Below are 21,462 nucleotides of genomic sequence, written 5' to 3'. Positions count from 1 at the left end.
GGGAATGACATCATCTGCTTCTTGGGAGGGATTAGTTACTTAACATAGGCAAAGCACTTAGTGCCTGACACATGTAAGTACTAAGTATTAGTAGTAGTAGTAGTAGTGGTAGTATTTTATAGCTCTAGTACCAGCTTGAAGGGTCTCCATTCATACAGGGTAGGTGCTTAATTTACAAAAGTTTTTTTCTTTTGAGTTAAGCACACTGCTGTTAAAATGCCAGTCCTACCCAGGTGAAGGGGGTGTGCAGACCCCTCCTTTCCAACAAGAGACTGAGGCACCCTGAGATGAAGGGAAGGTGATGGAGGGTGGGAAAGGGCCAGAAATGGAGAAGCGAGAGGTCCCCAGCCCAATTTTATAATGTTTCATCTTCCCCAGAATCGTTATTTCCAACCAGCCAAGCCCTCACCATCCCTTCTTGTCACTCCTCTTACATGCCAACACCCCCCCAAGCCACTCCCTGTGCCCTGAGGGCTGCTCTTCCCCAGTTTCTCTGAACCTTTTCCATATTCCATCCAAAAGTGCCTGATCTATCCAGAAGGCCCCCATTGGCATTTCCTGACTGTCTGTGGTCGGCGCTATATTTATTTGCTCTTTCACTCTGGTTTACCTGTAGCTTAAAGTCTTTCCCTCATGCTTGTCTGAACTCCTCCAAAGTTGGGTCTCCCTGTAGCAGCTCACAGGGCCTCATATCCCCAGGAGTTCCCAGGCTGCCAGGACAAGAGTGGAGTGGCCTGGCCCTGGTCTCTTACCTGGGTCTCGGAGAGGTTCAGCTGGCGGGCCAGCTCAGTGCGCTCGCGGCCCACCACATACTGGCAGCGCTGGAACTCCATCTCCAGGCGGTACAGCTGCTCGGCAGTGAAGGATGTACGTGTCCGCTTGGGCCGGTCCAGGTCCAGGCCCTTAGGCAGGACAATTTCCCGAATTGTCCCTTTGGCATCTGCAGAGGCCATGAAAGGAGCCAGCTTAGTTCATTAGCTAGGGAGTTAGATCACCAGAAAGCATCTTAATAAAAGGTGGTGTGATCTATCGCAGAGCTCCTCAGGCCTGGATCTGGTTGCATGACCTGTGACAAGTTGCTCACCCTCTCTGGGCCCAGATTCCTTAACCACCCAATGCAGGGTATTATATCTAATGGGTGGCTAAATGTATGTGAATAGGCCTCAGTACAACTGCCAGGTCTACCAATGTGGTCTGGGAAGAAAGGACTCACTCTGTCCCAGCCAGGATTCTGGGCCTTTGCAGAGTAAGGAACAGATGGGAAAAATATGCTGGGTCCTCAAGTACATAGGGGATGATGGGTTAGAATTGAATGTGATCAATCAGGTAAGGCTTACTGGAGAGGTCAGAGCCAGGTCCTAAGCTGTGCGTGTGTGTGTGTGTGTGTGTGTGTCTGTGCATGCATGCATGCATGAAGGAGTGTCATGCATCCACAGACCTGGGACCTGGGGTCCATGAGGAGGAGGCTAGCTGATGAGCGGTAGAGGACAGTCTGGGGAGCTGAGGTCCCTAGGAGGAGCCCAAGGACAACTGCTACCATATCAGGCTGCTGGATGCCTTCCAGAGGGGGGCTGCTGCCACTCCCCATGTGCCTAGTCCTGAACAGCAGGGCCACTCCTGGGCTCTGACCAATGCCCTCCGCACAGAGGGCCTCCAATATTTTGGAGCCCACTGAAGAGTGATTTGGAGCCCACGTTCCCCACACATTCCTGATAAAGAACTTAGTAACATTTAACTACAGGGGTGGAGATGATCCATGTGTGACCCACATATACTGATGGCTTGAAATCTAGTTATTAGAACATTTTATATTACAAATTAGATTGTGGAAATATGCAGCATCACATCCTGTAGGATTTACAAAATCACTCCCTACAAATGATGTCCATGATAACGAAGCTAAACTAACAGGAATTTCCATTACTTAGCATTGGCAATGGGAAGCTTACCAACACAAGGCCGCCTTGAGGAAGCCCAAGAAAGCAAGCAACCCTCCACAGGTGCAGGAATTCCAATACCCTCCAGGGGGCGCACGCAGTCGGAGTTTGCAACGCGGCCAGAATGGGCAGTGGCTGTTGACATTCCAGCCGTAACAAAGGCTGACAAACGTCTGCAGTACTTGCTCTGGGCCAGTCACTGTTCTAAGCACTTAATTAAATTTAATTTTGTTTTGTTTATTTATTTTTTGAGACAGGGTCTCACTCTCACGCCCAGGCTGTAATGCAGAGGCGCATCTCAGCTTACTGCAGTCTCGACCTCTAGGGTTCAATCAATCCTCCGACTTCAGCCTCCCAAGTTGCTGGGACTACAGGAGCACACCACCACGCCCTGCTAATTTTTGTATTTTTTGTAGAGACGGGGGGCATAGGGGATTTCACCGTGTTGCCCAGGCTAGTCTGTAACTTCTGGGTTCAAGTGATCTGCCCGCCTCAGCCTCCCAAAGTGCTGGGATTACAGGTGTGAGCCATTGTGCCTGGACTTATTTTATTTTTTAATTATTTTTTTCTTTGTTTTTAAAAAATGAGATGGGGTCTCACTTAGGCTGGTTTTGAACTCCTGGGCTCAAGTGATCCTCTTGTCTCAGCCTCCCAAAGTGCTGGGATTATAGGTGTGAGCCACCACACCCTGCTGTTTTAAGCACTTTAACCTTCTCAATGTCTCCATGAATTTGGAACTATATGATCCCCATTTTACAGATGAGGAAATGGAGTAACAAAATTTAAGTAATTTATTCAAGGTCCTACTGGCAGTGTCCAAGAAACTCTTGAAACACCGTCTTTTTTTTTTATTCTTTTTTTTTTTTTTTTGTGGAGACACACTCTGTTGCTTAGGCTGAAGTGCAGTGGCACCATCTCGGCTCACCACAACCTCCGCCTCCCAGGTTCAAGTGATTCTCCTGCCTCAGCCTCCCAGGTTCAAGTGATTCTCCTGCCTCAGCCTCCCGAGTAACTGGGACTACAGGCGTGCGCCACCATGCCTGGCTAATTTTTGTATTTTTGGTAGAGACAGGGTTTCACTATGTTGGCCAGGCTGACCTTGAACTCCTGACTTCATGATCTGCTCACCTCGACCTCCCAAAGTGCTGGGATTACAGGCATGAACCACTGCGCCCGCCTCCATCATTTTACTTTATGTCTACCCTCAGTTGGTAATTCTTTTTTTTTTTTTTTTTTTGAGACGGCTGGAGTGCTGTGGCGCAATTTCAGCTCTGCCTCCAGGGTTCACACCATTCTCCTGCCTCAGCCTCCCAAGAAGCTGGGACTACAGGCGCCCACCACCACACCTGGCTAATTTTTTGTATTTTTAGTAAAGACGGGGTTTCACCATGTTAGCCAGGATAGTCTCAATCTCCTGACCTCGTGATCTGCCCACCTCGGACACCCAAAGTGCTGGGATTACAGGCGTGAGCCACTGTGCCCAGCCCTCGGTTGATAATTCTTAATAATTCAATTAATAGGTTGAAATGAAGAGGACCTGGTCATGAGTAAAAGATGGAATCTTCTGGATGGGTTCATCATTCCCCTAGAGAACATAATGGAAAGAGCTGTATTCGGGATGTGCTGTCTGGCAGGAGGCTCCTTGTGATCCACAGGGACGGTGGGACCTACCTTGAGAATCCCTGCTCTAGAGGGTTACCCTGAGCCCCTCCCTCCAAGCGTCCCACCCCAGGAGACTGACTCTTTCTGGGTCCTGCCAGTGCAAATTGACACTCCCCTTCCAGGGTATGCTCTGGCTCCTGGCTCAAGAGTCCTGGCTCAGATCTCACAGGTTCTCAAGCACCGTCCTGTTCATAGTCAGCCTCAGGGAAAAGGTGAGCCAGGGTGGAGGATGTGTCACTGCTCAGAGGTGGCCTCCCTCCCCATCCCAGGCCAGGTCCTGCCAAGCTGCTGGGCAGAGCCTATCAAAAGGATGTGTTCTAGAGACTACAGGCCTCTTAGGACAACTCAAGCTCCCCAACTCCAATTCTGTTCACATTTCAAAAAGATAGGATAATATGTGTGACCCCACTGTGACTGGATCAGTCTCCTTTGCTCAGGTTCCATAATTTCCAATTGTGAGAGCAGACTCAGAACTTTGTGGCAAAACTCCCAAGTGAATCCATCTCAAAGGCACTGATTTTATCAAACATGTTTTGTGGGGTATGAATAGGAGGAAGGGTGCTGTTACAGCTGGTGTCTTACCCTCCCCTTAATAAGCCTCCTCAAGCCCACCCTGTAGCATCTGAGCCTGAGTCCCTAAACATGAGATCAAACCATCCTTCCCTCTTTATACAAGACCTAAAAGGGGGATTGCCACCTCAGGGAGCAGCCAAGTGCAGCTGTCTCCCTCAGGGTCATGGAGGCATGACCCAGACGAGAAAGGCAACCTCAGACTTGCCACCAAATATTAAAACATGCCATACAAATAAGCACATGAAAAATGTTCAACATTGCTGGCCATCAGGGAAAGGCAAATTAAAGCTGCAATAAGAAACACCTATCAGAACAGCAAAAAGAAAAAATACTGAGAGTGGAAAAGCTGGTGAGGATGCAGGGAAGCTGGATCTCTCTTACATTGCTGGTAGGAATGGAAAATGGTACTACTAGCCAGGCAGTTTCTTAAAGAGTTAAAAATATACTTACCCTACAACCCAGAATAAATGCCCAGAATAAATGGGCATTTATTCTAGGGAAATGAAATATTTGTTTTTGTTTTATTTATTTATTTATTTATTTGGAGATAGAGTCTCGCTCTATCCCCCAGGCTGGAGTGCAGTGGTGCAATCTTAGCTCACTGCAACCTCCACCTCCCAGGTTCAAACGATTCTCATGTCTCAGCCTCCTGAGTAGCTGGGGTTACAGGCACCTGCCACCATGCGCGGCTGATTTTTTTTTTTTTTTTTTTTTGAGACAGAGTTTCACTCTTGTTGCCCAGGCTGGAGTGCAGTGGCGCGATCTCGGCTCACTGCAACCTCCGTCTTCTGGTTTCAAGCGATTTTCCTGCCTCAGCCTCCTAAGTAGCTGGGATTACAGGCGCCTGCCACCACAACCAGCTAATTATTGTATTTTTAGTAGAGATGGGGTTTTACCATGTTGGCCAGGCTGGTCTCGAACTCCTGACCTCAGGTGATCCACCTGCCTGGGCCTCCCAAAGTGTTGGGATTACAGGCGTGAGCTGTAATCCCATTTCAGCCCAGCTGAAATCCTATGTTCACACAAAAACCTGTATACAAATGATCATAGCAGCTTTATTTGTAATAGCCCCCTAATGGAAATAAATCAGATGTCCTTCAATGGGTGAATGGTTAAACAAACTGTGGTGTAACTGTACTCTGGGATACTACTCAGGAAAAAAAGGAAGAACGATTGAAACACACAACAATTTACACAGGAAATTATACTGAGGGGAAAAAACAGTTCCCAAAAGTTATACACTATATGATTCCATTTATTTAATATAAAGGTAACAAAATTATAGAGGTGGAGACCAGATCAGTGGTTGCCAGGATTTGGGGATGGAGGAAGGACCTGGCCATCAATGAGTAGTAAGAGGAAGTTCCTTTGTGGTGACACCACAGTACTGTATCATGGCTGTGGTGGTGGTGACATGGATCTATATATGTAATAAAATGTCATAGAACTATATACAAAAAACAAAAAAACAGTGCAAGGAAAAACAGGTGAAATCTGAGGAAGGTCTGTAGTCTAGTTAATTATATTGTATTAATGTCAATTTTCTGGTTTTGATAAGGTACTATAGGTTTGTAAAATGCCATCTACAGAGAAGCTAGGTGATGGATACATGGGACTTCTCTGTACTATTTTTATAACTCCTTGCGAGTCTATAATTATTTCAAAATAAAAAGTTGACAACAAAAGCATGCCACAAAGCTAGAGTGATGTGTTGTCACAGAAATTGACAAATCCATTAGTAGAAAAAACACGATAGTGTCTCTGTATTCCACTTATGGTTTGTAAGATGATTTAAAATTGTACATAAATAAGCATGTCATTTAAAAAGTTAGGCATTTATTTTAATGTTTACTAGAAAAAAATTTAAACCTATAATTTTATAGGCTTAGGGTGAGGCTAAAGTGGAAATTTAATCTTAAAATGCATTATGCTAAAATATTAAGAAAATAAATGGAATATTAATATAACAAATGAAGATGGGACTCAAATGACTGCATGTGGGGAAACAATAGCATGGGAAGTACAAGATAAGGGGATATTAGACACATGTATCCATAGTCATAGAGTTTATCATAAAAGGGCATTCAAGATGGGAAAAGAGTGATTTAGTCAATAAGTCACGTTAAGCAGATTGGTGACCATAAATTGTATGTTTGGAATAAAATTAAGTTAAATTCCTATCTCGCTCCATAAATAACAACACATTTCAACTGGATTAAAGACCAAATCATAGATGATAAAATTATAAGGGCATTACAAAAAAATATAGGAGGATGTTTTTAGAATGCTAGGCTTGGGATGAAATTTCTAAGCAAGCTGCAAAACTGGAGGCTGTAGGCTAGGCGTGGTGGCTCACGCCTGTAATCCCAGCACTTTGGGAGGCTGAGGCAGGTGGATCACCTGAGGTCAGGAGTTCGAGACCAGCCTGGCCAACGTGGCGAAACTCCGTCTCTACTAAAAAATACAAAAATTAGCTGGATGCGGTGGCAGGCACCTGTAATCCAGCTACTTGGGAGGCTGAGGCAGGGAAGGGGAAGTTGCAGTGAGCTGAGATTGTGCCATTGCTCTCCAGCCTGGGAGACAGAGCAAGACTCGGTCTCAAAAAAAACAAAAAACAAACAGCAAAAAAACTGGAGGCTGTAAAGGAAACACAAAGGATGTATTTGACTATATTAAAGCTAAAAACTTGGATGACAAAAGCACCAAAATCAAGGTAAAGTACAAGAAACAGATTTGAAAAAAAAAATACATTTAAGAGTCAAAGAGGCTGGTTGTGGTAACTCATGCCTGTAATCCCAGCACTTTGGGAGGCCGAGGTGGGCAGATCACTTGAGGCCAGGCATTGGAGACCAGCCTGGGCAACATGGTGAAACCTCTTCTTTACTAAAAATAAAAAAATTAGCTGGGTGTGGTGGCGTGCGCCTCTAATCCCAGCTACTCAGGGGCCGAGGCATGAGAATCACTTGAACCTGGGAGGGAGAGGTTGCAGTGAGCCAAGATCGCACCGTTGCACTCCAGCCTGGCAATACCGTGAGACTCTGTCTCAAAAAAAAAAAAAAAAATTTAAGTAAATAGCCTGATAAAATAAATGGTCAAGTAATTTATCTGGGTCATTCACAAAAAAAGACAGCTAAATGGCCAATAAACATATGAAAGGATAAGCATAGCTTTATAGTAATCAATATAATACAAGTTCCAGCAACAATGGAAAGCCCTTTATATCCCATAAGGTTGAAAGGACATTAACAAGTGATTAAAAACAATGATGACAATTAATAACAATGGTGCACTGTAGGGAAATCTACACTCCTATACGCTATTAATAGAACCATAATTGAGTCCATCTTTTAAGGCTGCATTTATCAAGATTAAAGATGCACATAACTTTTGCTCCAATTATTTTATTTTATTTTTTGAGATAGAGTCTCACTCTGTTGCTCAGGCTGGAGTGCAGTGGTGCAATATCAATGCTCACTGCAGCCTCCGCCTCCCGGGTTCAAGTGATTCTCCTGCCTCAGCCTCCCAAGTAGCTGGGATTACAGGTGCCCATCACCACGCCCCCTAATTTTTGTAATTTTTTAGTAGAGACAGGGTTTCACCATGTTGGCCAGGCTGGTCTCAAACTCTTGACCTCAAGTGATCCACCCACCTTGGCCTCCCAAAATGCTGGGATTACAGATATGAGCCACCGCACCTGGCCTGATTTTATTTTCGTTGGTATTTGTCCTAGAGAAACACAGGCTCAGGTGCTCCAAAGTATATACAACAATGGTGTGTGTTGCTGCACTGCTCAAAACACCAAAAATTTGAAAGCATCCTCAGTATTTTCCACAAGAGAAATGGCTGAACAAATAGTGGTACATTTGTATTATAAAATACCATGTAATAATTGAAAAGAATGAGGCAATAAGCTATGTGAACAGACATTAGTGTATGAAAGTAAGTTACAGAATAACATGTAGTTTAATCTCATTTATGTAGATTAAAACAACTGAATATATTCAACCATTCAACATGTATTTAATAAGCCCTTATTTGTCAAATATTATTCTAGGGCCTGGGGATACAGAAATGAGCAAAAGAGAAAAGCATTTGTTCCTGTAAACCTTGTACTGGGGAGGGAGACAGATAATAAATGTAAAGTTATTTATTTATTTATTTATTTATTTATTTATTTATTTATTTATTTTGAGTCGGAGTCTCGCTCTGTCACCCAGGCTAGAGTGCAGTGGCGTGATCTTGGCTCACGGCAACCTCTGCCTCCTGGGTTCGAACGATTCTCCTGCATCCGCCTCCTGAGTAGTTGAGATTACAGGCACCCACCACCATGCCCGCTAATTTTTGTATTTTTAGTAGAGGCAGGGTTTCACCATGTTGGCCAGACTGGTCTCAAAAGGCTCAAGTGATCCCCCCGCCTCAGCCTCCCAAAGTGCTGGGATTACAGGCGTAAGCCACTGCACCCGGCCTTCAAGCAATTTATTTCTAATAAAAAATAAATTTTAAAAATATGTAAGGCAAAGACGAGTGTTGGGAAGGCAATAAAATAAGATAAGGGGATATTACCATCCCTGCCCTAAATAACAAAACCCAATAACCAGAGAGTGTGTGTGTGTTGCCACACCCTTTCTACTGTGATGGTCTTGGAAGCAGGAGTGAAGAAGCTTTACCAGCCTGGGTTTCTGAGTATCAGGATGAGCCCCTGTCCACTTGTGATGGACTTCTGTGAGTGATAAATGCATTTGTGTTTTGTTAAGCCTCTAAAATTTGCGGTTGTCTCTGCAGCAAAATATAGCCTATCTTACTAAAATAGTCCTCTTTTTTTGAGTTGCTCCTTTTCTAGGAGGAGTTTGGGAGGAGCATCTGGAAAGAGGAACAGCTTTCATTCCAGGGCTTCCTTGCAGGTAGGCACTTATTAGGGTGAAATGAAATGAGTCCTGCATTTTGCTACCCCTCAAGTCTCCTCAAAGAGCAGTGAGCTCTGAGGGTATGTGGGAGGGTGAATTCTGCCCAAGAGCCTTTGCTTGGGAGAGGTGGTGACCCCCGGCCTGATAGTAGTTAGCTTATGCTTCTGACCTCTGGTGCCCCTCTGGCACCTCTCCCAATAGACATCCCCCCCACCTCCAAAGCCCTATCTCACTTCTTTTCCTACCTAGCACTAGGTAGTCTCTTTGCACGATAAGCTGATAATGTGCTGACTTTTTTTTGAAACGGAGTCTCACTCTGTCACCCAGGCTGGAGTGCAACGGCGTGATCTCAGCTCACTGCAACCTCCGCCTCCCGGGTTCAAGCGATTCTCCTCCCTCAGCCTCCTGAGTAGATGGGATTACAGGCGCCCACCACCGCGCCTGGCTAATTTTTGTATTTTTAGTAGGGACGGGGTTTCGCCATGTTGCCCAGGCTGGTTTCAAGCTCCTGACCTCAAGTGATCTGCCCCCTCTGGCCTCCCAAAGTGCTGGGATTACAGGCATGAGCCACCATGCCTGGCCGATAATATGCTGACTTTTAAGTGTGCAAGGCCCTTCCTGCCCCCACCTACAAATATAATGTGATTGCTATAAAAATTCCTTATGGAAAATTCATTCTCAAGTTTATTGGGAACATTGAAAATGCAAGGATAGTCAACAAAAAAAGTTAAACAATAGTAGTGAATACTTGCATTACCACACAGCAAATATGTTACAAATCTACAGCAACTAAAATGGTATAATGCTGCACAAGAGTTATGAAGCAAATTCATGTGTCTATGTGGATCTGGTATGTTGGGAAGACAGTATTTTGAATTAGTTGGAGGAAAGACAGGGTTATTAGAGACATAGCTTTTGAACAATTAGTTCATTATTTGGAATAAAGCTATTTATCTCACACTGTGTGCAAAAATAAACACAAATTTAAATGTAAATAAAAGCTCTAAAAATTGAAGAACAAATATAAAATAACTTTCTAGAAAGGAAAATAAATGACATATTTGAGTACCTAAAAATAAACGCATCTGCAGGGTAAGAGACAGATGGGGAGAAAATATTCATAATGAATTCTTAACAGAGTCCTAATGTCTGGTATACACACAGCCTCTGTAAACCAGTGAGTAAAGTCAAGCAGTCCAGTGGGAAACCGAACAAATTATTCAGAGAAGAAGAAATGCATGTGGTTAATAAATATGAAAAAATACTCGGGCTAGAGGAATCAGAAAAATGAAAGTTATAACAGCAATGAGATATCCTTGTTTTTTGAGATGCCATATTTTATCTATCAGATTTGGAAAATTGTACTGGCAAGGCTGAGTAGAATTAGGTTCTCTCAAGCTCTCTCAATAAGAACATAAATTGATATAATATATGGTTTTTGAAGAGGAATAATGCCTAGCTAAACTTAAAATGCACTGTTCCTTTGTCCCAGCATTTTTATAGAGCTTTCTATCACACAGAAACGTTGGCGTAGTTGATAAATACAGACCCACTGTTTGTAGCATAGTTTGCAAGAGGGAGAAAAGGGGGAAAAGCTGAATGTTTATCAATAGGAAAATTGTCGATAAAATCACAGTCTAGTAATAACTTTGGCTATATGTAAACATTAACAAGAATGAGACACATAACCTGGATGGATGTTTATTGTATACTACTAAGTGAAATGGCAAGTGTGCATAAACCCATTTTTATATTAAAAAAACAGTAAAAGTAAACTCTTTCTGTGTGTGTGTTTGTGTTTTTGTAACCACATAGGAACAAGTCTGGCAAAAGAAGCACCTCACTCTTCTCTTGCCTCTGAGGAGTGGAAACCGATCAGGGAGGAAAGATTCAACTCATTTTTTGTCTTTCTTTATTATTTCTTTTGGTGAAAAGACTAGGGAATAAAATTTTTTTGGTAGCAAACATTTTAATATGTTTGTGTATGCATATATAATGTTTTAAATGCTGGATGAAGATTTTTCTAACTAGGAGCTAGAATCTAGAAGCCCAAAAAGGAACAACCATTAAATGTGGTTAGAGTTTAAATTTCAGTTTAGAAAAAAAAAAAATCCCACAAAGAAAGTTTTTTGTTGCTGTTTTTTTGTGGGTTTTTTGTTTTGTTTTGTTTTTTTTTTTAAGAAAGTGACCTGGGAGTTGTTTGCAATACATGTCACAGAAAAAGGGCTCATTTCCTTACTATATAAGTGGCACTTACGAAGATGAGAAAACAATTAGTGATCCGATAGAGAAATGGCTAAATATATGAAAAATTCACAGAAGAGAATATTAAAATGAAGAATAACTACATAAAAACATGCTTAACCTCACTAGCAATTTAAACTACTAATAAAATGAGATTATTCTGTCACTTGAAAAGATTTCACTCTAAAAAATTAAGTATATTCTGAGTTGGGAGGACGTAGAGAAATGACACTTTTATACAAGATGGCTAAGAGTATAAATCAATATAAGAGTTTTGGTATAAAATTTGGAAATACTATCATAACTTTAAATGTATATCCTTGGATTTTAAAAGTTTGCTTCTAGGAATTTATCCTGTAATTATATTCATACCATGTATATGTAAAATGATTCTTGTTACTTTAAACAGTTTATTATGACAAATTTCAAATATTTACAAAATTAGGGAGAGCAGTACAATGAGCTCCGATATACCTATCCCCCAATTTCAACTATTAGAAACTCAGGAATAATCTTCTTTCTTCTATTCTGCTGTAATTATTAGCAAATTCTAGAAGTCATAACATTTCACTTATGAGTATTTCAACATGTATCTCTTAAAAAGGGGGGACTCTTAAAAAAGTCACCTATAATACTATTATCACAATAAAAATCGACAATTATTCCTTAATATAATAAAATATCCCACCTGGTTTTACATGTTCCAAATTGTCTCATAAATAAGATTTAAAAAAAACCATTTGTTCAAGGGAGCACTCATTCTATGGTATAAATGAGGTAGGTGTTGCCTGGGATAAAAAGATAAGAATAATTAAAAATAAAACAAACCATTTGTTCAAATTAGGATACAAAGATGTTCACTACAGCATTGTTTGTAATAATGAAAAAGTACAACCAACCTAAATATCCATTAATAGAGGACTAGTTAAATAAGTTATATGATATCTACATAACGGAATCCTATACAGTGGTTAAAAAGAATGAGGGAGTTCTAGAAAGAAAGATTTCCACAAATATTCTTTTACTCTACTTGCAAGCTAAGACAATTTGTTTAATTAAGAAAAAAGTCATTGCAAAAAAATCCAATTTTTGTAATATATAACTTACATATTTATATTTTTCAATTACTAGGTAAAGTTTGGAAGGTAAATCTTAGGAGTGGAAGTGTATCATGTAAGGGAAATTAGAAACTTTTAAATTTTACATGACATAGCAAAATAGTATGGATTGCTTTTGTAATTAAAAAGATATTTTATGAGAGGCGCAGGTGGGAGGATTGCTTGAGGCCAAGAGTTTGAGACTGGCCTCCTCAATATGGTGAAACCCTGTCCCTACTAAAAAAAATTAAAAATAAAAAATTAAAGAAAATAAATAAAAAATTAAAGCTAGGCCAGCATTGTGGGGAGTGCCTATAGTCTCAGTTACTCCAGAGGCTGAGGTGGGGGGACTGCTTGAGGCCAGGAGTTCAAGGTTATAGTGTGCTATTGTTGGGCCACTGCACTCCAGCCTGGGTGACAGAGTGAGCCCTTGTCTCTAAAAAATAAATATAATGACATAATAAAAATAAAAAGACATTTTATACTTCTGAAAACAAAAGACCATCCTAAACAAAATCAAAGGATAAATTGTAAATTAAAATGTTGCAACACATATTGAAAGCAATACATAGAGTTTCTACAGATCAATAAGGAAAAGGTATATTTGCAAATTAAACTGGTCAAAGGAAATGAATCAATAGATAGAAGAAATACAACTGGCTAATGAATATGAAGATCGACAAAGATGAAATGATACAAAATGTCCAGTGTGGGGACAGGGCAAAGGGGTGGACATAAGTAACTAAACTTCTCCTGCAGAATAACTTGACTATGTTCATCAGGATGTAAAATGTGAACTGTGCTGGCAAATTTTGGAGAAACAACCACTTTCAGACATCGCTGGTGGCAGTGTAAACTGCTTCCATCTTATGGAGGACAAACAATTGGGCATTATCTTGCAAATTTCAAACACAGATACCATTTGACCCAGTAATTCACTTTTAGGAACTTCTCTGACAGATATACTCACACATGTGGAAATGACTAAGAAACAAGTTTATTTATTTCAGGATTACATATAATAGCAACAGATAAGAAAATAACCAAATGTCCACAAATAGGGTACTGGTTATATGATATACATTATGATCCACCTAGTCCACTTAAATGGAATATTATGCATCTATAAAAAAAACAAACAAAAAGTTATTTACACCCCAAGATATATTGGAAGAAAAAAGTTATATAACTGCACTGATTTCCATAGGCATAAACATTATCTGGAAGGACATATTAGAAAGTCCTTGAACCAGGTGGGAAGTGGGTGATGGGGACAGGGATGGGAGAGGTTTTTCACCGGATACTTTTTAAAAAGTGCAGTGGCTCCCACCTGTAATCCCAGCTATGTGAGCACTTGAGTCCAGCTTAAACCCAAAATAGTGAGACCTCCCATCTCCTGATGTCTGAAAAAAAGATGTTTTGATGAATTAATTATCTATTTTACAATTACCTATTACAGTAAATGAAATATATTTAAATTGTGTGTGTAAATCTTTCGAAGCAGTAATTACACTGCTAGAAACTTATCCCACAGAAACAGTCAAAGGTCTAGAAGAACCCTGCCTTCGGAGCTTACTTCACAGTGTTTATATTAAGGAAAAACAACCCCAAGGTCCCTCCAGTCTTTAGGGGAATTAGGCTTTCCCCAACTAAAGGAATACTTAATTCTACAGTCAAGGGACAGCAAGAACTGGTTCAGCAGAGAAGATGATCACTGCAGATTAAATTTTTTTGAAATGGTAAATTGCAAAACAGCCTATGAAATATAGTTCTGCTTTTATTTATTTGTTCGTCTATAAGAGCGTGGAAAAATCGCCTGGAAGGACTCGCCCAGAATTGAAAACAGTGGCTGTTCCTGGGATCCTTCTTTGCTTCCGGTTTTTAAAAAAATCGAGCTCGTATTACTTTTTGAATTTAAATCCTCTATTTTCCTGTCTACATTGTAAGTGTGGCCCTGCCGGAGGCTGTGCCTCGTAGAGTGTCCTTTGCCCGGCCCTGGCTTCCGCAGCTCCGCGGGTGGACGCGGTGGGCTGCCAAGTAGTGGGGAATGGAAGGCGGGACAGGGGCTCTGAAAGTCAATGTCTCCAGCAAGACGCTAAAGAAACCGTGGCGTCAACTGCGCGGTTATTTTTGGCTCCAGCCGTGGGCTGCAGCCGTGTGAGCCGGCAGGGGCAGGGGCACAGATTTATCCAGTTATTTCTGTCAACCCTCTGGCTGGCTTTGCCCGTGGAACCTCACACCCGGCTGCCGCCGAAAGCCGAAAGCCGAAAGCCGGGAGACTCACCATTGACTTTACGAGCGGCCCAGCGCTTCCCAAGACCTCCGCTCCAGCCTAGGCCGGCCTCTAAGCCGCCACATATATGAGGGTTTTCAGGTTTTGTAATTCAGTGCTTCCCAAAGCTGCGGATTGCAGAAACAAAATTTCGAAACTATGGGGTTGTCAACTTCATGCTTTAACAATTATTCTATGTTCTGCCATGATCACTGTTTCATATAAGAAGGACATTGCAACGTCAAAAAATAAGATAATATTAGAACACACGTTCTTCCGGGAGAAGGCGTTGGCCGCCTAATTAATACCTACAGAATTATGCCATGTTGATGAATTTTGTCCCATTTAAGTTATTCGAGAAGTATTTATTGAGTGCCTACAGTGCACTAAAAGCATCCGGGAAGATCGCCTGGATTTGGTGGGCACAGTGACCACCTCCTACGTGGTCTTTGCCTGGCTTCAAGGGAAGCAGGCTCGGGGAGCCCGCCCCCTCGACTTCAGCGGGGAAGTCTCTACCCAGCTGTTTCTGGCCTGACTGTGGGAGCTGGGCAGAAACAGCTTACATTTATGGGAAGCTGCGTGCCAGCAGCTTGAGCCAGGATCAGTCTGGCACACAGTGAGTACGCATTAATGTTTGTAGAATAAGTTAAAGAACAAGAAACGCGCGGTAGCTCAGTCCTGTAATCCAGCACTTTGGGAGGTCGATGAGGGAGGATCGCTTGAGCCCAGAGGTTCAAGGTTACAGTGAACTATGATTGCACCCTTGCACTCTAGTCTGGGCAACAGAGCAACCACTCTATCTAAAAAAAAAAAAAAAAAAAAAAAAAAGGAAAAGAAAAGAAAAAAAAAGAAAGAATAAAAGATGTTAAGGCCACGGGGGAGATGGTTCAAGGAGGGCCCTGAGCCTTTACAAGCCCAAGCCTCCGCCAGGGCCTTATAGCACACTCCTTCAGTCTGGCACTCACCCTGACTTTCCGGGTGCATTCACCCTGGCTCTGTAGGCCACATCCAAGCCTGGGGCTGCTACCTCTTTCTGCAGTGCTGAATGTCCCCAGTCAGCATCCACCAACAGTGGGAGAACCCAGGACACTGAAACCCCCAACTGCCTTCCCGGATGAGCTGGGTTGGGGGTATGAGGAATGAACTAGCCTCCTAGACCTGTCTCGCCGCAGGGATTGGTGGGCAGGCCCATGCAGCGTTGGTGTCTTCTATCAGAGTATCTTGAACTGGGGTACAGAATCTGCAGATGCACAGCCAGGTAACCGGCTACTGGCTCTCCAAGGGTAGTCAGGTCTAGCATTATTTGTGATTTTATATTAAGCAAGGAGCAAATAGGCAAAATTCATATGCTCCACCTCCCACCATTAAAATAGAAATCAAAGAAATGTAGCCAACAAGAAGGGAGCCTGCAGCCAAGGGGTAATTGGGGAAATGGCACCCAGGCCAACGTGATGCATAGACACCCTCTCTCCTTACCGGTGCTGCGCAAAAGAGGAAGACTTGAGCCCGGTGGCTTTGACTGACTGCGGGTGCATGCCACTGCCATCTCCTCCCTTTCCTGTAGCCCCAGGTACCCACTCCTTGTCCGGGCTTCCAAAGGATTTGGCCTCCTTGCCCCTCGGACTCCCCAGAAGCTACCTGGGGGACCATCCCTGAAGATGCAGGTGTGTGGGGCAAGGGGATGCGGTGGCAGTTCCATGGGTTCCTGGGTCTACCAGACCAGGCGGGGAACAGAAATCGCCTGAGGAGGGAAGGAGCTGTCTAATCTTCCTGAACCGTTCCCTGAAAATGAAAACTGGGCACACAAGACACACCTACAAGATGATTTTTCGGGTTGCTGGTCTGCTTCAGTGTGTGTTTGTGGGGGTAAGGGTTATGGAAGGGGGGGAAACAAAAGAAGACCCAAATGAGAGGGCCCGGCATAGGAATAGGCACGCTATGGGAATGTGGGCCTCCTGCCGAAAACAAGTAAAAGGAAAAAATAACGTAAAGCAACTCCAAGAAAACAAACAAACAAAAAAGAAACCCTCTACAAATGCTAAAACCAAAAAATAAAACAAATACAAAAATCTCAAAGTGCAATTCCTTGCATGAACCATTTACACCTTTCCACGTCTGCCTTGGGGGCTGGTCCTCGGTTGTCAGGTCTATTAACAGACTCAGATATTGAGACTAAAGTCCTGTGGTCCTTACTAAACGCCTGCTCAGCAGGGCTAGGCCTGCGGCCCGGCCGATCTCCCCAAGCCCAGTGGCTGTTGGTAATCCAAGCAGAAAGCGAGCAGAGGCCGGCCGGCCCTGAGCCTGGACCCGGCTGCTGGAGGCGAGGCGTCTGTCCCTGCAGTAACCTCCCAGCCAGAGCCCCGAAGCTGCGCCCCCTTGTATGGCTTCTTCAGACGCGTCTCTGGGAGTTAGGGCCCCGGCGGCTGCACGCCATTGTGCTGTGTGTACGAGTTCGGACTTGGGTGTTTCCGGAGCGTGGGTCCCGACTGCCCGCGGATTCTCCGAAGGACTGGACTCCACTAAGGTCAATCCCACCCGTCCCACGGCGGGAATCGCCCAGCCCAAGCAAGAGGCCTGGGCTTCACGCGTCCCCTCAGCCCCCAGCCATCCGCGCATCCATGCAGCTCCCGGGTGAAAGCGTTTTTGCTGCTGGTGGTGGGGTTGCAGCGAGTCACTTCTTCAAGGGATCCTGCAGTCATCCCACCCTACTGCTCCCAGACACAGGGGTTCGGAGGGTTTCGAGTGGGGTTTGAGGACCCGCAGGGGTGGCTGTCAGCCCAGAGAGGCCGCTTTGGGTGAGCAGGAACGGACGCCACGCATTGTCTGTAAAAGTTGCTGTGTTGGGTGACGCTGGTGGACAGAATTTCCCGGATCTATCAAAATCGGTCGTTAAATTCGCGTCTGGATTAATTTGGGAAACAGGTGCGTTTGAGCGTGCAGGTGGAGCATCGATCGCGGGGTTGTAGGGAGTCTGCGGTCAGAGTTGTCCACCTCTTCTGCCTGCTGGTATCCCAGCTCCACCGAAAAGCCTGGTGCTCGGCCACTGCCCTGTGCTGTTTGAGCCACGGCTCAGGCGGCCTGTTGTTCCTTTGGTTGCTTCCTGCCTGCCTTTGGCGTAAGGTTTCCAATATAAAACAAAAGGATTTCCCCGTCCCCGCCCTCACTGGTCTAGGGACTGTGCACGCGGAGGTGTGGAGCGGCCTTCTCAGGCCTTAGGGTACAAATGGGAGGATCGCTGCGTCCGCGGTGCGATGTGCGGGGTGCCTGTTATGCGCCCGGCCTATCATCTCAGCAGCTCTGGTCCGTGCCCATGTGTGACATGTAGGAGTCTTCATTTTGAGGCAGGAGACGCACCACGTTTGGCCTCTTTGGCTCTCCACCCTGTATTCGCAGAGGCTTGAGTCACTGGCCCAAAAAGGGTCCCACCAAGGAGATTGGGGAGGGCTGCACTGTGTGGTCTGCAAGATGGTGCTAATTTTCCTTTACCATTAGTGGCTTCTTAACCCCTAGGTGCTCACCTCCAGTACAGCCCAGGCCCCGGGCCCAGAGCCAGAAGGAGGGGGAAAGGGGTGACTTGGGAGAGGCCTCAGACAACGAAGGTCCACTGCCCCACCCATCAAAAGTGGTTCGTGGGTCACCTCAGAGCTACACCCTTCCTTCTGTCAACAAATATTTATGAAGATCCTACTGGGTGTTTGCAATTTTATAGACATCACCTCTGATTCTTGGCAAGTCCTTTAAGATAAGGGCTATGGGTCCCTTTGTAAGATAAGGAAACAAGCAAAGAGAAACAAAGAAACTGGTTCAGGTTTAAAGGGCTATAAGGTCAGTAATCTAAACCAATTTTGCTTAACTCTGGTGCCCAAGCTCTCCTCCTACTCCCTGTGCCAAAGGACTCCCTCAACAAACCTGCCCCCCACCCCCCTGTGGTATGCCCTTAGGTGGAGGAGTGCAGAATGAAAGGGAGGCAGAAAGGACCCAGAAGGGGTGAGGCCTCCCCAAGAAAGGACAGGTCCTGGGGAGGCCCCAACCCAACATTGACATAGGACAGCAAGGGCAAATGCCTCCCTTTTACCTTTTAGTGGTTTCCTTCCAAAGGCTCTTTGGGAGGATGTGTTCTCTGAGGTCAAGGGCAAAGTGTATTGAAGGCCTATGGAAGGAATGTTCATTCAGGGGCCAAGGCAGTTAGTTCAGACTTTCCTTCACCAGTGCCAGGCCTGTTTCATTGATCAGAGCCCTGAGCCATGGTGGGACTGCCAGTAACACAGGTGACCCTGGCTAGGAGAGATTAGTGGCAAATCACATCCTGAGCGTTTCAGGCCCATAATAACCTCCCTATCATTAAATGGGGAAGGGCAGAGGGATTTATAAAAGCCCCATTTGCCTTTCATTTCTGTCAAGTGTGTAAATATATCCTCTATGCTTTATGTCTAATATTTCGATTATATTTTACAAATGCATTGGCACCTCTGTGTGTGCACATACATTTATAAAAGTACACCCCCTGAAGACGCACACAGGCTGTCTCACATCCAGTGCAAGCCCATCTCTGCCTGGCTGTGGATTGCTCCCAGCTTGGGTGGCCCCACCTCACAGGGTGGAGGGTCACTTTTGAATTCCACTTCCTATGAGTTTACCCCTGAAGGCTATTTAATTGACATCTGTACACAAAACTTATTTGCTCTACATACAGGGTTAGTAGAGTGGAGAGGATGTTAGGTGGGCACAGAACTCACAATTGTCCTGGGGGGAAGAAAATGTCCACCCATAGGTGGGGTTCAAGGTGATGAGTGTCACAGGCAGTGACTTTAGATCCTCCCCTGGGAATGTGTGGGATTGGAGGACTGATTTCTCTGGCAGTCCTACAGATATTTTTAATGGAACCAAAAGGTCTGCTTATGCCTTCACTCAAGACATCCCACAGTCTAAAGAATAAAATCGGATTTAATCCCTGGTGCCCAACAGGTCCACACACCTGCTGGAATTCCTGATGGTATAACTGCCTTGACTCAAGCAGTCAACTATGAGTAGCAGTGAGCACCTACTGTCCCAGTGACATCTGGCACCAGGAATGTTTCCCAGAGCTAAGGCCCCTGTCTCTGTATTCAAGGCAGTCATCAGTCACCCTCACACTGGGCTGCATGCATGCTCTACCCTCCAGTCCCCAGTGCCACCCACACCCAGCAGCCGCAGAGAGGTAGTGCCCAACTGGCCCAGGGTGTCCCAGTCAGCTTGAGGGTAGCCGAGCTCAGATCAAACATAATCCCCTCGCTGGAACGACCCAGGGCCAGCTTCCAGCCTGTTCGCCTTCCCCAGGCGGAGGCCAAAGAAATCCGCTCGGGCCGGTAGCCTCCAGAGGCCCAGTGGCTCTCCCGAGCGGCGCGTGTGAAGAGGCTGGAAAGAGGCAGCAGGAGGAAGCCGGGAGGAGGGAGCCCAGGAAGGAGCCTGGGGGAGCCATTACCGCCAGTGGCCTCTTCTGGCGCTGGGTCTCCCGGTCCCAGGGCTTAGGGATGGAGGAGGCAGCGGACTTCAGGCTCTGGCCGCGGCCTGGGGTCGGGCTGAGGGCAAGACCCCGGAGTCCCCTTTCTCCTCTCATCTCGCCGGGCGAGGCCCAGATCGAGGGAAAGCGGAGCCCTTGGCATTGCGAAAGGCTGGCGCTGGGGACCTGGGGAGCCTCGGCCTCGCGGAGAGGAGGCCGGGAAGAGCTGGGTAATCGGTCGCAGTCCAGATGGAGGAGCTTGCAGGAAGAAGGTGCTGGGAAGGCGCGTTCGGCTGAGAGGAATGGCCGGGAAAGACGAGAGGAGGACGAGGGCCGAGGGAGAAAGAGAAGGACGTGAAAGGCCAGGCCGCGGGAAGGCGGCGCCGAGAGCCGGCTGGGCCCAGGCGCCGCGAGGAAGTGGGAACCGAGAGAGTGAAGCACAGCGGGCTAGCGCCGCGCACGCCACCCTCCGCGTCCCGCGCCGTCTCCCCTGGGCAATCCGTGCGGGTCCCGATTGCCGGGGACGGGAAACGCGGCTAGGCAGGAGGCGAGGAAGCACCCCGGCCGCCCTGCAGAGCCGGGGCCTTTTCCTCCCGCGGTTGCCGACGCTGCTCCCTCCACGTCCTGTCCCCGCGGAGCGCGCAAGACGCTTTTCTCCGCACTTGCCTTGAGGGTCACGGGACGGAGTCCAGGCTCTCAGCATCCCGCACTCCATTTCTGCCCCCGCCACAGTAGCCGTTCCGAATGGGCCTAGAACTAGGGGACTGGCCCGAGAGGCGGAGAAACGGGGACCGCTTCGGTCCCATTCGCTGCTTTGTCCCTTGCACTCAGCTTAATGTCCAGCACACAATAGACGCTCAAAATAATATTTGCTGAATGAATGACTGGATGACGAATGAATGAATATATGAATTGAGAGGTGTCAGCTGCAGCTAGGTCGGGGGCCCCAGTATGGGTAGGGTGAGGGTCCAGTGGAGCAGGGCCGCGGGCTGTCCCCTTACCTCGCACCAGTATGCGGCGGCAGTGGTCTGCCTCGCCGGGCCCGGGCTGCCCGTCGCTGTCGGCTCCACTCTCCCTGGAGCCTGCGGGACTGGAGGCTGAGGTCCCGGCCACCTCCGTTGGGCTGTGGCCACCGCCATCAGCTCGCAAGTCCCCCGCTCCGCTGCGGTCTCCGCAGCGCCCACCGCCGCCACCAGACTCCGCCCGGCGCGCGGGGCCCCGGTCGCGCTCGGCGCCCCCATCGCCCATGCTGACCGCCACTGCCAACCCCTCTACGGCGGAGCCAGCCTACGCT

At 46.0% G+C, this 21,462-nt stretch overlaps 1 protein-coding gene across 3 annotated transcripts in view, besides 1 other annotated feature; it reads right to left on the bottom strand.

Annotated features, from left to right (window-relative positions):
• Nucleotides 1-21,462, bottom strand: part of VAX2 (ventral anterior homeobox 2) — a 32,871-nt gene extending 11,409 nt beyond the window's left edge. For all 3 annotated transcript variants that reach the window (NM_012476.3, XM_011532751.4, XM_011532750.4), the window contains exons 1-2: nucleotides 21,170-21,462; nucleotides 753-940 (exon numbers count right to left, since the gene is read on the bottom strand). In NM_012476.3, coding sequence (NP_036608.1) covers nucleotides 753-940; nucleotides 21,170-21,416 — 435 coding nt within the window. In that variant the 5' untranslated portion in view covers nucleotides 21,417-21,462. The remainder of the gene's footprint in view (nucleotides 1-752; nucleotides 941-21,169) is intronic.
• Nucleotides 19,434-20,327: an enhancer, noted in NCBI's record as "H3K4me1 hESC enhancer chr2:71128841-71129734 (GRCh37/hg19 assembly coordinates)". NCBI's record gives its function as "activates a minimal SCP1, AML or CMV promoter by ChIP-STARR-seq in naive H9 embryonic stem cells {active_cell/tissue: H9 hESC(naive)}" and the evidence as "EXISTENCE:reporter gene assay evidence [ECO:0000049][PMID:30033119]".

The sequence above is a fragment of the Homo sapiens genome, chromosome 2 (genome assembly GCF_000001405.40).
Source record: "Homo sapiens chromosome 2, GRCh38.p14 Primary Assembly".
Classification (NCBI taxonomy): domain Eukaryota; kingdom Metazoa; phylum Chordata; class Mammalia; order Primates; family Hominidae; genus Homo; species Homo sapiens.
Note: the sequence above shows the minus strand (reverse complement) of the source record. Positions and strands in the feature narration are given on the sequence as shown.